The sequence below is a fragment of the Homo sapiens genome, chromosome 5 (assembly GCF_000001405.40).
Source record: "Homo sapiens chromosome 5, GRCh38.p14 Primary Assembly".
Classification (NCBI taxonomy): domain Eukaryota; kingdom Metazoa; phylum Chordata; class Mammalia; order Primates; family Hominidae; genus Homo; species Homo sapiens.
Window position 1 is genome coordinate 159,899,026 of NC_000005.10, and position 15,163 is coordinate 159,914,188.

General features: G+C 43.5%; 1 protein-coding gene across 2 annotated transcripts in view; it reads left to right on the top strand.

The window, feature by feature from the left end:
* ADRA1B (adrenoceptor alpha 1B) overlaps nt 1-15,163 on the top strand; it is a 124,120-nt gene that overhangs the window by 33,940 nt on the left and 75,017 nt on the right. The window contains exon 2 of one of the 2 annotated variants that reach the window (XM_047416776.1): nt 9,621-9,754. The exons of the other annotated variant lie outside the window; for it this stretch is intronic. The gene's annotated coding sequence lies outside the window, so the exon portion shown is untranslated. The remainder of the gene's footprint in view (nt 1-9,620; nt 9,755-15,163) is intronic. 2 annotated transcript variants of the gene reach the window in all.

Genomic DNA, 15,163 nt, shown 5'->3' on the forward strand with positions numbered 1-15,163 from the left:
AGTCCCAGCTACGTGGGAGGCTGAAGCAGTAAGATTGCTTGAGTCTGGGAGGTTGAGGTTGCAGTGAGCCTTGATCATGCCACTGCACTCCAGCCTGGGTGACAAAGTGAGACCCTGTCAGGAAGGAAGGAAGGAAGAAAGAAAAGAAAAGAAAAAAAGAAAAGAAAAGAAAGAATGGAAGAAAGAAATAAAAGAAGGAAGGGAAGGAGGGAGGGAGGAAGGAAGGAAGGAAGGAAGAAAGGAAGGAAGGAAGGAAGGAAGGAAGGAAGGAAGGAAGGAAGGAAGGAAGGAAAGAAGGAAAGGCAACTAGTGGAAGAACTGGGTTGAGATATCTTAGAGGATTTGGTTGGGAAAGATTCTGAGATTAAGTCTGGGCTCAGTGGGAAAGACTAACATGATTGACAGCCAATGCCTGGAAAATTGATTGACAGCCATGTGTACTGGAGAAAGAAGCTTCACCGCATGTCATAAGTATTTATCATCCTTGCTGAAGAATGAATTCCAGATCCATCCTCCTGAGCAGGACTCCTAAGTATGCCCATACTGACAGTGCTCTGCACAGCTCCAAAAGGGTACCACTCATATAGATTTTGATGTAAATGGATCCCCCTGAAATGGTACAGTCATAACCTGCACAACGGCACCCGGCAGCCCTACTCCTGTGATGCCTTATGGAAATGAAAACTGTGGCAGGAGGCAATGAACTGGACTGTAAAGATGGGTCTTTAAAGGGTAGACAGCTCCAAATCGGAAGTAAAGAGTCCTTGGCCCTGCTATTAATGTGTTGTGTGTCCTCAGGCAAGATCTTTCTCCTTTCTGTATCTGTTTTATAGCCTGTGAAATGACTGTTTTAGACCACAAGATTCCCAGAATCTCTGCCAAGAGATTTATCTGGAATGTACAGTGGATGTAAGATGAGAAGTAAGGCTGTAACTTTATTTTTTCCAAATACCCAACTAATATATTGATAAAGGTGATATTTCCTTTCCTCACAAATGCCTTTATCAACACAGTAATTCTCATACGTGCTGAATCTAGTTTAAATAGTCTATTCTAGTCCAATAATCTGCCAGCCTGACCTTCTGCCAGTAGTACTGTTTCAACTACAGTTACATTATCAAGCCTTTTAATCTGGTAGGGAAATTCCCTCCACCTACCCTTTTTTTCTGAAAGTTTTTGGTTATTCTTAAGCATTTATTCTACCAGAAGCACTTTGGAATCATTTTATTAAATTCCCTCCAAATTCCAGTGATATTTTCAATGGAACAACATTAAATTAATAGGTTAAATTGAGAAGCATTGACATCCTTACAGTGCTCCCAGAAGTGGAATACATCTTTCCGTTTATTCAAGGCCTCTTTTATTCCCCTCAGTAAAGTTTTGTCACTTTCTTCATATAGGTCTTGTACGTTCCTTGTTAAAGTTATTCCTGGGCATTGCATATTTGGTTGTTATGGTGAGTAGAATCTGTTTTCTTTTATATTTTACAGCAAATTCATGCTGGCATGTAGCAAGCCATTGATTTTATTTTTATAGATGTATTTGTACTACTAGATCTGTCCAGTGTAGTGAGAGCCATGAAAGTGACGAAACTTAATCAGAAATAGCCCCTGAGGGAGAGAGAGAGTCAGCAAAGGGGAGCAATGTCCTCACTTCTCTTGTCTCTCTCCCTTCTGCCATACCCCCCACTGAGCAAGCCCAGCTGGCAGGTTGGGGGGTGGGCAGCCCCCCAGCCATGCAGAGCAGTGCAAGACAGGCCATGGAATGGACTTGGGACAGACAGGCTAAGGACCAGCTCAGAGTGTCTTCATAAGGACTGTGGATTGCTTCTGAAAATTACATCTGCTCTCAAAGAATGAGTACTTAATTCCACCATGATGGTCACAAGAATGTGCAAACTGGTTTGAGAAGAATAATGAAAGAGGAGAGAAAATAGTTTTAATTGGACTATGAAAACAAGCTCATGGCCTCCTGAGGTGACTACTCCGAAGGGAAAAACCTGCCTATGGATATACTTATTATTATATATTCATTATATTATGTTTTACTATTATACATGTTATAGATATTAGACATATAATATATATGTACTATTTTTAAGTAGGTACATTAACTTATAATTATTTATTATGTAAATTCCAACAAGCTCCCAAAGAGTCAGAGATCAAAGATAATCCATTCTCTTGAAGAACCCAGAGAAATCTCATTTTCCTCCCTCCTGCCTTCCTCAGAGGATAAAGGCAGAGGGAGAAGTGACGGGTCTTGTCAGCAGGTGCACCCTTCACCCTTTGCTCTTCCAGCACAGCCAAATAAGTCAAATAGAACCCCACTAGGATCACTACAAGAAGAGGAAGGAGGAGGAGGAGGAGGAGGAGGAGGAAGGGGAGGAGAAGGGGGAGGGAGAGGGGGAGGGGAGGGGGAGGGGAGGGGGACGGGAAGGAGAATTTCTGAATACCAGTATAAATTGATGAACCTGTTATAAGTTATAATTTTAATTTCTGTATAGTTCAAATTTCTTATAATTAACCAGATATGTTGCTTTGAGAAAAATCTCAAAAGCCTTCCTGAAAGCTTCTTGAGGGGCTTCTTGTTCATCTCAGCTCTTCTCAGCATGTAGAAGTAGATGCTCAAAGAATGTTTGCAGTGACAAATAGCCCAATTCAAAAGTAGACAAAGAATAGACATTTCTCCAGAGGAGATATGCAAATGGCCAACAAGCATAAGAAAAGATACTCAACATTAATAATCATCAGAAAAACTCAAATCAAAACCACAAGATATCACCTCACACCCATTAGGATGGTCACTATTAAAAAACAATAACAATTGTTAGTGAGGTTGGGGAGAAATTGGAAGCCTTGCACACTGTTGGTGGGATTGTAAAGTGGAACAGCTGCTATGGAAAATACTATAAAGCTTCCACAAAAAATTAAAAATGGAACTACCATATGATGCAATAATCCCACTTCTCAGTATATATTAAAGGAATTGAAAACAGTATCTCCAAAAGATATTTATGCACCCATGTTTGCTGCAGCATTATCCTCAATGTTGTGGAAGCAACCTAAATGTCAGATGAGTGAATAAAGAAAATGTGATATATACACTATATACACACAATGGAATATTAGCCTTAAAAAGGAAGGAAATTCTGATGCATGCTACAACATGGATGAACCTTGAGGACATTATGCTAAGTTAAATAAGTCAGTCACAAAAAGGCAAATACAATATGATTTCACTTACATGAGATAAGTAGTTGAATTCATAGAAACAGAGAGTAGAATGGGGCTGGGGGAGGCGGAATGGGGAGTTGTTGTTCAATGGGTCTGCAGTTTCATTCATGTAAGATGAACAAGTTCTACAGATCTGCTGTACAAAGAAGTCCATAGAGTTAACAATGCTGTAATGTGTACTTAAAAACTGTTAAAGGGGTAAATAGATGTTATGTATTTTTTAACCACCATTTAAAAAAAAAAAAGGAATGTTTGAAATGAGGTGAAGTTGAACCTATTCAAAGACAAATGACTGACATGCTAACTCCTGGGGCCCTCCCACTCTTCAAGGCCCCACCCTGGGTGACATTTCCTGTTGCCACATCTTAGTCAACAGCCCAGTTGATGGTAGAGTCAGTGTTTTTCCCAAGTTTGTGTCTCCCACACAATCTGACATGATGCCTGGCACAAAGCCCTTGCTCAACCGATGTCCATGGAACAAATGAAAGAGTGGATGTAATGGATCCTCACTTTCCCCATCTATAAAATGTGGAAAACACCTGCCTTTTAAGCAGTGTGTGCAGTGGAGAAATTCCTCTTCATCCCTTTGCTGGTGGGAGGTGAGAATGTGGGGGTTTTCCTTCCTCCTATGCCTCTGGCGTGTGTCTATTCCCCTCCTGATGAGTCATACAGGAATCAGACACTGTCGCTCTCGGACAGAACACGTCAGGTACTTGCTTGGGAGCAGCAGGCCCATGAATCTGTGCTGCATCCCCCGCGGTTACCTAGGGAACTCTGGGGCACAGCCAGGAAGGGGGACTCTGCAGACAGAGAAGGCTCTGGCCAGTGTCCCCACCTCTGCCTCAACAGCCCGGCAGGACCTTACCATTCTCTAGTTTGGAACCAGCATCCTGTCCCTCTAGAGGACCCAGGCAAGAGGCCCTGAAAAGCATCAAGGTTCCCACCCCAAATGTTCAAACAGGCAGAAGCAATCAGTTAGCAAATGACTGCACCAGGAATCAGGGCAGCTGGGACCTGGCCCTGTGTCTTAGTCCTTCCCTGTACCCAGGCAACAATAAGTAAATCCCTCTTCCTTCCACTCTCTGTCCATGTGAAGCCTAAATGACGCAATATACTAAACTGCTTAGCATAGCCCTGATATCTAGCAAACAATTAATAAAAGCAGCTGTAAATTTAACTACTATTTTTGTTATTAGTAGGAGTAGTGGTATATTATCCTCACTATGATCCTCCAAGTGTTATCCCATTTTACAGATGAGGAAACTGGACTCAGTGGTTAAGTGACTTGCTCAAAGTCCTTTAGCTAAGAATTGGATCCACTGGTAATGGCCAAGTAGCTACTTTAAAGGGTAGAAATTATTCTGGCAACTCCCGTGGGAGTGTGTGGGAAGGGCGGCCACATTCACTCAGCTCCATTCACACCCAGACAGGCTCTCTTACTGTGGCTGCATAGCAACCAGAACACCTCCAGACCTGGCTCCAAACCTCACATCCCCTCATCTTCAAATCCCATGTCTTAAGAGCACCTGGGTACTCCTTGGCTCTGATTGGGTCAGGAGTCCTCCCCTAGAGCTGGAGGGGAGGGTCCGCCTGGGCCCGACAGGTGGAAGACTCAGGGCACAGCTTCCGTTACAAAGGGAGGCTAAAAGTAGGCTGGGGTCCAAACAAAAGTCACCTGACCTGTACACACACACACCTGTATGTGTGTGTGCACGTGCATGTATGCGTGTGTGTGTGTAAATACTAGAAAGCATTTGCCGAAATGTTAACAACGATGTTCTCTTGATAGTGAAATGAGACTGATTTTCTTTTCATTTTGTATGTCTTTCCATAGTTTTGCAATGAGCACAATTTACCTTAATAATTTTTAAAAAGCTGCTTGCATTTGTTTAGTATTTGAACAATGAAAATAGCATACAGTTATTTTTAAGACTATGGGTCTGGACATTAGAGACCTCAGTTCTGGTTCTGGCTCTGAGTGACCATGGTCAAGTAACTTGCCTGGCCTCAGTTTCCCCACCTGGGAAATGAGGAAAGGGCTACACAACTTCTACAGTCCCTTCCAGCTCTGATTCTAAATGCCTCTCTCCTATGAAGGCACAGCACATGAAAAAGTGTGGATAAGCTAGGTTCTAGGAGACCTGCTTTAATTCAAGGAAAGTAGTTGTTCCCAAAAAGAAATTAATCCTGAATGCAAATGGGTACATTTGTGGAACTGAAAAAGTTTCCTCACAAATCGTGTGTGCTTCCCAGAACCTTAATGGAAGGCACCTCCTCAATGGAGACCAGGTGGCCTACTCCAGCCCAGAAAAATCTCTCCCTCCCTTAGACGGAAGAAGGATTAGCATTACTGAGTGAGCCTACTATGTGTCAGGCCCACTCCAAAGTGCATTATACACATTGTCTAATTTAAATTCATAGCACTTGTGATCATCAGTTGTTTGGCAAGTAACAAGATACTGAAGTCTCCTGAAGTGTTGTTTAACTGCCACACCATTATTGAATGTGAGTCCATGACTCTCTTCCCATAAAGAGCCTTGGGAGAAAGAAATACTTTTAATTCATCCTTGTATGAACTTCAGACCCTAACACAGTGCTCAATAAATATCTGCTAATCACTAGAATCTTCCTCCTATCATCAGTGTTTGATGGGCTCCATAGAGTCAAGAATTTGACCAGCTCATTGGAGCACACAGCTTTAGTTAAGAAAGTGATGATCTTAGTTAAAACTGAAAGGAGAGGAAGAGGAGCCAACAGATCAAGTCACTATCCAGCGTTAGCAGGAACCTATCTCTTTGAAGAGTTCATAACATGCACCAGGCCTGTAGGAAATAGGACATTGGTAGAATTTGAGAACAAAAGGTTAGAAAAGGTCAGATTTGGGGGTTGCTGGAAGCAACAGGAGACCATTGGGATCTTGGGGAGGGGTTATAGTTGAAAGGAAGAGAGGGTTGCAGAGAGGAGAATAGGTTTCTAACACAAAATTCACTACAGAAATAGAAAAATTGTGATAGACACATAGACAATCCAACAAAGCAAGCCTCCTCCTACACAATTTTGCATGCTGGAAGCTGAGGTTGCAGGAATGCAATGGGCATTTGGAATCAAAAAGGCTGGGCCAGAAACAAGAATGATAACTTTAAAATGTCTAAAAAGAGAATGCCATTGAAAGACAAAAGTTTCACAAATACTGCTTTATTTTGACTTTCAGTTAAGGCTGAGATCAAACTGTCCTTTTCATTCATTCATTCACTCACTCATCTAATAAATATTTACTGAGCACTTACTAACCATTAGACAATGCACTAGTCCCTTGGAGGAACAAAAAGAAACACTGCCCTGCTCTCATTGAGCCTGAAGCCTAGGGAGAGAGACAGAGTGTGATCAAAGAGTCATATGCAGAAGTATGTAACCACAAACCATAGCAAATGCTATAAAAGAGAGAGAGGTGATTTTCTGGGTGTGGAAAACAAAGGAACCTTGCCTAGACTGAGTGGGGAGGGGCAGGACAGTCTTCCCTGAGGAAATGACCCTGAGCTGAGGTGTGATGAATGGAGACACTAGGCAAGAATAAACTACAGCAAGTGAAAGTCAATGCCATTTTTTTTTTTTTGAGTCAGAGTCTTGCTCTGTCACCCAGACTGGAGTGCAGAGGTGCAATCTTGGCTCACTGCAACTTCCGCCTCCCAGGTTCAAGCAGTTCTCCTGTCAGCCTCCCAAATAGCTGGGATTACAGGCACACAGCACCACACCAGGCTAATTTTTGTATTTTTAGTAGAGATAGGGTTTCGCCACATTGGCTAGGCTGGTCTTGAACTCCTGACCTCAGGTGATCTGCCAGCCTCAGCCTTACAAAGTGCTGGGATTACAGGGGTAAGCCACCGCACCAACCACAATGCCATTTTTAATGAGCCCAGTGGAGGCAAGACTGGCCAGACTGGCAATCAGAAAACCTGGGTTTAAGACCTGCATCCTATAAGAATCCTCTCTATGAGACATTCAACCAAGTTAAGAACCCTCTCTATAGACATTCAACCAAGTTATGCATATAAGAACCCTCTCTATGAGACATTCAACCAAGTTATGTGTATAAGAACCCTCTATATGAAACATTCAACCATTTTACAGATGACCTCCATTGGATCATCTGTAAAAGTGGGGATGTTGGACCAAAATAATGTTTCTCAAAATGTAGTCTTCTGCAATCAAATCATTGGGTTACTTACAAAAATATAAATTCCTGAACCCCATTTCAAACCTGCTGAATTAGGATATCTAAGGCTGAAGCCCAGGAATCTGCATCTTAAGGCTTGCTCTAGATGACTTTTATTCCCTGTAAAGTTTGAGCATAGCTGGCTATGCAGACAAACCTTTGCCTACTCAACACTCTACATTCCTTCCTTTCTAAATTCCAGGCTCTTGATGGAGCAGGACCAAGAAGGGGAAAAGTGAGCAGTTCCCTAGACTGAACAAAGGAAAATTCTAAAGTTTTTGAGTGGCAACAAAGGGCCAAACTTTCGCACCTGGAGATGATCCATCTGTTTTAAGGAGAAGTTCCCCGGCTTGACTTGAGAGCTCCAGACTGAATACTCTTTTTTCTTTTCCACTTAGTCCCTGGGATTTAATTGAAAATACAAATTCCCTGGCATTCACTCCCTTCCCTTTGCTTCCTTCTCTTCATCCCCTTCCCAGAGGACCTGGAAGATGGAGGTTCACACGAGTCCCCCTGCCTTCCCTGCCCTTCTAGGGTATGAATGGCCAGCCTCCAGTGAGATGATTTATAGCCTTCGAGCCTCTTTGGTCTGATACACAAGGAAAATTCCTGTTGACACTAATTGTACCAATGGCCATGAATTATATAGTCCAAGGACCTGCCACTCCACCTGCTGAACTGAGCTGGGTTTCTCTCCCAATGCACAGCAAGTTCACTGGCCAACTGCCTGCCACACCCCATTCCCCAAGCTCACCAACACCCACACCGGCTTGATCTCCAACCTCACTGTGGATAGAAATATTTCCAACAAGCCCTGGCTCTCTGGATATGGCAATTTCAGAAGTTGCCTCTCAAAGGCCAGATATATTATTTCTGCCTACCTGATAAGATTCTTGTATTAGAATGAGATAATTCATGTAAAGTATATAACAGATGCCTAGTACACAGAAGTTCTCAACAAATGTTAGCTGTTATTATTTGTATTGTTGTTCTTTTACCAGCCGCTGTTTGTTCAGGGCAATTTATGTCAGAAAAAAAAAATGCATCAGTGACATCATTTGGCAAGTAAAGCTCTGTAAGGATAGCTGAGAGATTAACAGAGAAAATCTGTACCTAAATACTCCAGATACTGAGAAATCTTTTGTGTGTTTTTAAGATTATACAAAAATATCCATAATAACTAACATTTATTGAGAGCTTTCTAGGTGCCAGGCACAGTTCCATTTAATCTTCCCAACAACTCCATGTGGTAAATACTATTAAAATCCCCATTTTACAGATAAACAGATAGAAGCTTAAATAAATAAAGTAACTTGCCCAAGGTCACAAAGCCAGGAAGTGGCAGGAGCTAGAATTTTATCTGTCTGGATGAAGCCAGTTTGGTGTTTAATAAGCTACTTCCTTAGGGCTAACTGGCGTTTCTCATGCTGTCTTTGTCTTTGGCATCTATAGCTGTTTGTTCTCTCTCTCTCTCTCTCTGTCACACACACACACACACACACACACACACAGAGTTGGTTGCCATCATGGGACCAATAATTTTTGCCCTCCTTAAAGACAATTATTGAATCAGGTCTCCCACCCTTCTTGGAAGAGTTAAGGCAGGATCCTGACATAAACTCACTTAAGGTTCCCCAGGAAGTGTTAGGAGGAGAGATTCAATCCTCAGACCTCACCATGGAGACAGGCACATATTTGTGTTGTGCACACAGCCCAGCACAACTTCTGCCTCTCTGGACTGCCTGTGCTCTAATCCCATTTCTGAGTAATTTTGGACAAGTTAATGAATCTCTCTTATCTTCAGTTTTCTCACCTGTAAATTGGAGCTAACGGTATCAACCACGCTATGGTTTGAATATGGTTTATTTGGCCCCATCAAGTCTCATGTTGAAATTCGATCCCCCAGTGTTGAAAGTGGGGCCTGGTGGGAGGTGTTCGGATTGTGAGGGAGGATCCCTTATGAATGGCTTGGTGCCATTCTTGCAGGAGTGAGTGAGAGCTTGTTGTTCAAAAGAGCCTGGCACGTCCTCCTCTTTCTTCCTCTTTCCCCACGTGATGCCAGCTTCCCTTCCCCTTCCACTATGGAGTGGAAGTAGCCTGAGTCCCTCACCAGAAGCAGATGCCTGTACCATGTTTCTTGTACAGCCCCAATAAGCCTTTCTTCTTTATAGACTATCCAGCTTCATGTACTCCTTTACAGCAGTGCAAGCGATTAAGACATACCACGGAAGTGTTGTTCGGAGAATTAAATGAGATGACGCATATGGATTCACTTGGCACAATGCTGCATGCATAACTGCACTCAGTAAGTCATAGTTAATTCAAATGGGGCCAAAGAAAGCAGGCAATGCTTACCTGTAAGTGGGTAGCGCTCCAAAGGGCAGGGGAAATATTTGGGGCCCTCCCAGGCACTTGCAATTCACACCTCATAGCTAATTGCCATTATACCAGGCTGCTCCTGTCTAAAAGTCTCCACAAAATCTCCCCCATTCCCCGAGCACTCACTCAAGAAGTGCCACAAGAAGCCAAAAAACCAAAATACTGCCTCTTTCTCCCCTCATCTTTTCAGGACTCCCAAGGCAACCTTCCAAATCTTTTGGTTTGGTGTCCAGTAAACAGCAGAGACACACTGGGCATTTCCTGTCCCAGCATTCCTCAATGCACAATGAAGATGGGCAAAGGAAACTGCCTCTTTCTCACGCTGCTCCCCCCTTCACTATGCTCCCCGTTCCCAAGTCATGCCACATGCTATTTCCCAAGCAAGCCCACACTCATTCCAAGACCCTACACTGCCACCTCTGCCAGACAATGGAGATGAGAAGGCAGAAACCGCCTTCTGACATCACTCCCTTGCCTTGCTCCCCTGGGGCCTGGTCTGTCCTCTCCAAAGCTGGGCTCTAACACTTTGTCCAGATACAATTTTTGGATGACCCCAAGGAAAAGGTTCCCACCACTTCCTTTAGACTTTTCTGAACTTGGTAGCTACAAGTGAAAATCCCCCAAAAGGGTTGGATGGTTTGGTTCAGAGAGCACAAAAAAAGGAAGAAGAGAAAGGATGGAGAAACTTGAGATTTGTGTCATGTATTTATTTCCTTATTTAACTCACATCCCTGTTCAATGTCAGACACAATTCTCTATGCATCCTCCATTGCACATTCCCGTTATTTATCTTAGACTGTAAACTACGGGAGGACAAGGAAGGCCGGCATCAATTCACTACATTCAGTTCAAGTTCTGTTCCATAATAAATGGTGAAACACTTAATTAGTTCTATTGCCCAAAAGTGAAAGAGGTTATGCCTAGACAAAGAGAGTTACAACAGAGAGGCTCCTCAAACAAAAATAAAAGCAACAAAATGGAAATCAATTGATCAAGGGGCCCTGCCAAGGACTTGGCACTTAGGAAGCCCCTATAAGGAATTCAGGAAAAGTGTAGGGTAAAGAACGTATCCACAGCTGCATCCACAGCTTGCAGCAAATTCTCAATAAGGTCTAGAACCCAAAAAGTTTTAAGAACCACAGGTAAAAGACAGCCTTTTCCCTTAAGAAATTTGAAGTGGAAGAGATACATCTTATATATACATACATACATATACGCACACACATATATATCCTACATACATACAAACAGGTTTAAATTATAGAGAACATCAATATAATAATAGTAGAGTTCTTTGTTGAGTGTTTTTACGAGCCAGCTCCCAGCCTGAGCAACACAGACTATATACAGTTCATTTAATTTTCACAACCACCTAGAATGTGCATTATCTCAAGAAATAGAAAGCATTATCCTCTGGGCACAGATGAAAATAAAGAGGCTGAAAGAGTTTATGTAGCTTGCCCAAGGTCACACATCTGGGTCAACTAAAGCCGGGATTCAAACTCAGAATCTGTGCCATGCTGCAGAAACAGATGAAAGTGGTGGCAAAAGCAAGTTGTGGGCATGGAGTCAAATCTCCTGGCTAGTGACCCTGGCTCTACCTCAGACAAATTTCTCCCTCTTTCTGGGCCTTCTGTGTTCTCATATGCAAATTAAGAGCATTAGACTAGATGAAAGGTTAACAAATTTTTTCTGCAAAGGTCCAGGGAGTAAATATTTTAGGCTTTACCGGACAGACGGTCTCTGTTGCAGCTACTCAACTCTGCCATTATAACCTGAAAGCAGCCATAGACAACACGCAAACAAATCAGCAAGCTGTGTTCCAGTAAAACTTTATTTGCAAAAATAGGCACTAGGCTGGATTTGATCGATTAATTGTAGTTTGCAGACTCTGAACTAGATGATCTCTAGAGTTTTCTAGTTCTGACACTTCTGTAGTCTCTGATCCTGACTTGTGGCAGTGCAGCCCAGAGGGACCAAGGCCCTGAAATGTCAGCTGTAAGGAACCTATTGCCATAGGTATTTTTTGCTGTTTTTTTGTTTTGCTTTGTCTTTTGTTTTTTGCAGTTTTTTTGTTTGTTTGTTTTTTGCCTTTGATGACTTTAGGACGTGTGGTTGGGAAATAGATCCTGGCAGTAGCAATACCAAGGAAGCTTGGGAGGACTTTTGCCCCAGTAAAATCTCTATCAGCTCCCTGCCCTGGATCTGTGATGTGAACAGTGACATCTATCTTGAGAAGGTCATGGGGCAAACGGCTGCATGCCCACCTTCAAACAAGACTGCAACTTAAAGATCTTTTCCAGAGAAATTCTGGAGGCACCATAGATTTTTGGGCAAAGTGATAGTGGCAAGCCCATGGCCAGCAAGGGTCAGCCAGAGCCATTCAAGAAGGCAGCACACACTCCCCTTCACCCTCGATTCTGTAGCAGCATGGGTGGGTTTTGGCAGCCTGTTTACACTGTCCCACCAGAATAGCACGAAGGCATAAGAGAGAATGGATCTGCTCTCTAGTTCAGAGACAGCAGGCCTTTCGGATTCTCCGTCCGGCACCCTGTGCCTTCACACCCCAGCCCCCGCCTCACTCCCCAGCTCCCAGGCTCTCCCCAAACATGTGATGTGCATTCAGCCCCTGGGTGACTTTCAACCCCTGGGTGACTTGCCAGTTAATCTTTACCAGCCTGCTGCAAAGGGCTGCCACTGAGCTCTCTCTGCCTTACCAGGGAGTGCTGTATGACTGGCAGTTCTGGGTTGGGGGAATGCATGCTCACCAGAGAGTGACAAGTTGTAATTACCAGAGAGAAAACAGTCCTACCCAGAGGGAGCTGAAATTCCTCACTCTTGGGAGCCTCTGACCTGCTGCCTTTGGAGGTAGAAGAGAAGGCTTTGCTGTAGTTAGTGTACCCCACCCAGAAGAAAGAATGCATCTCATCCTCCCACCAGGGTACAGGTGGGGCAAAAATTCTTCTTCGAGTCCCCACAGACCCTAGTGTACCTCCTAAAGCAGATGCCTCACTCCTCCAATTCCTTTTTTGTGTTTAGCCTCATTTACTGGGTGTTGTGTATTTCAGCTGTGCCACTTGTTAGTCCTGTGGCCTCAGGCAAATCGTTTAACCACTCTGGGCCTCAGATTCCTCATCTATCAAATGTCAATAATAATAGTACCTACCTCATAATGTTATCATTAGGATTAAATGAGATAATGTACAGAAGGCACTTTGGGCCCAACGCCTGGCACCTAGTAAGTGCTAACTCCTAACAGATAGTATTACTATTACTCTGTGCTGAGCACTTTACACACATTTTCACATGTCATCCTCACCATAGCCCTGTAGAGCTAGGAACTATTCTGATCTTCATTTCACAGGTGAGGAAACTGGGCCCAGAGTGGTTAAGTGACTTGCCCAAGAACACACAGCTAATAAATTAGTGGAACTGGGACATAAACCCAGGTGTGTCTGATCCAGGCTCTTCATCACTTCACTCTCCTGACCAGGGTCATAGTAAACATTAAATGACAGAAGTGCAATTAGAATCCAAGTTAGCTCTCAACTCCCTCAGCAGATCAAGTGCTGGCCTGGAAGGCAAGGAAGACTAACCTAAGGTGCTCCGCTGGGGAACCTTTACTCCCAGACAGCTCTCCCTTTCCCTCCCCTCCCTGACCTCTGCCTTACTAAGGAGCCTGGTCACATTCTGTTCTCTGCTGTTATTTCCTTCAGGCTAACATTGAACCTTCTGCTGCCTTTTTCTTTTTTTAATCTCAGTCTGGTGCAGAGAGAAGGATGCAAGCTTTGGAGCCAGACAACAATGCTTTGAATACCAATGCTACTTACTCACTGAATGGCCTTGGCCATGTCACAGAACCTCTCTGAACGTCAGTTTCCTCATTTGTAAAATGGAGAGAATTCCTCCGTTGCATTGTTGTGAATTTGAGTAAATGCACATAGATTGCCTAACACAGTGCCTGGCACATAGTAGGTACTCTCTGAAAGGTGCTTTAGCATTATCATCATCTCCCACAGCACCTAGCTCAGTGTTAGGTTATTGTTTGCTTGGTTTCATTCATCTTTGGTTCACCCACGGTACTTAGCATGGTGCTTACACAGAGTACATGCATCTCTATATGCCTGGTCGAATTGAAAGCTAGAGAGAGCACCATGAAAAATTGCATGATCACAGGTGACAGATCTCCTCCCATAGATGTCTTAAGCAGATCCTTGAATCTCCCATAGCTTCAGTTTCTCTACAGGTCAACTTCAGTGGCAGCTTCCCCTGGAGGGTTCGCAGAAATGGGAGTTCTGCAACATCAGAGGTTTCTAATGCAATAAGATGGATAATGAAAAGATTCTTCTTCCACAAGCGTCGAGTGAGTCAGAGCTCTGTGCTTGACTTTGCCCCAGGGAGTACCGAGAAAATGAAATATCGTCTGTGTTCTCATGACACCTAAACAAATGGTCAAGTCCATGGGTCAAAAATCAGCCAGAGGGGTTAAGAGGCATCTCTAGCAAAGGAAGGGGAGGAGCAGCAAGGAAAGCACCATTAGCAAAGGTTGCTGTGTGGGGTCCTGCTACACGGCTGTTATTAAGGCTAATACCTGTTCCCCTTACAGTGAGATCTTTGTTTTGCCTTCACGAAACACACTGGTAAATGACAACAAGTCTGAAATCTGCAAGGATTTTGAACTTGTCAATCTGGCTCAATAATTTCTTCCACATCCTGACACCTGAATCAAGACATAAGTTCTCATCTAGGTAACAAACTATTTTCTTTCACAATGAGGATAAACCATCTCTGAATCTCAGATTTGCTCTTTTTTTTTCATCCTGGCCTTTTGCCACCACAGAAAAATGTCTGATAGGCTGAGTTTTCACATTGCAGCTGGTTACTGTGATTATGTAGACACAGCCTCAGTAAATTCAATGGTGTGTTGCTGGCTGTTCAATAGCTGGTGAAATTAATGCCCAGGGAAGTGGGAAATGGGCCACCACAATCAAAATGTGGATTTGGAACTTGCTCTTTATTTTATCCCACCCTTACCCTCCCCTACACCCCTGTCTTTGTGCTAATGCCAGCTACGTGCCAGGTTACTGGTATTCTCTTCCTCCTCCCTCTCCCCTTATAAGTAAACCAGCTCAAGAGAAGCCCCATTATCTTAGACTTAATGATACATTGGGAATGGTGGGAACTGAGTTCATGATACCTCACTCTCACCCCTACCCTGGAAGATGCATGAGAGAAAGGATAGCAGGTGCCTTCGGGGGCCACTTTATCCAGCAAGAGAAGCTGACCACCTGGAGCTACGGGATCTCAAAGATCATCTAAGCCAGGTCCTATCTGC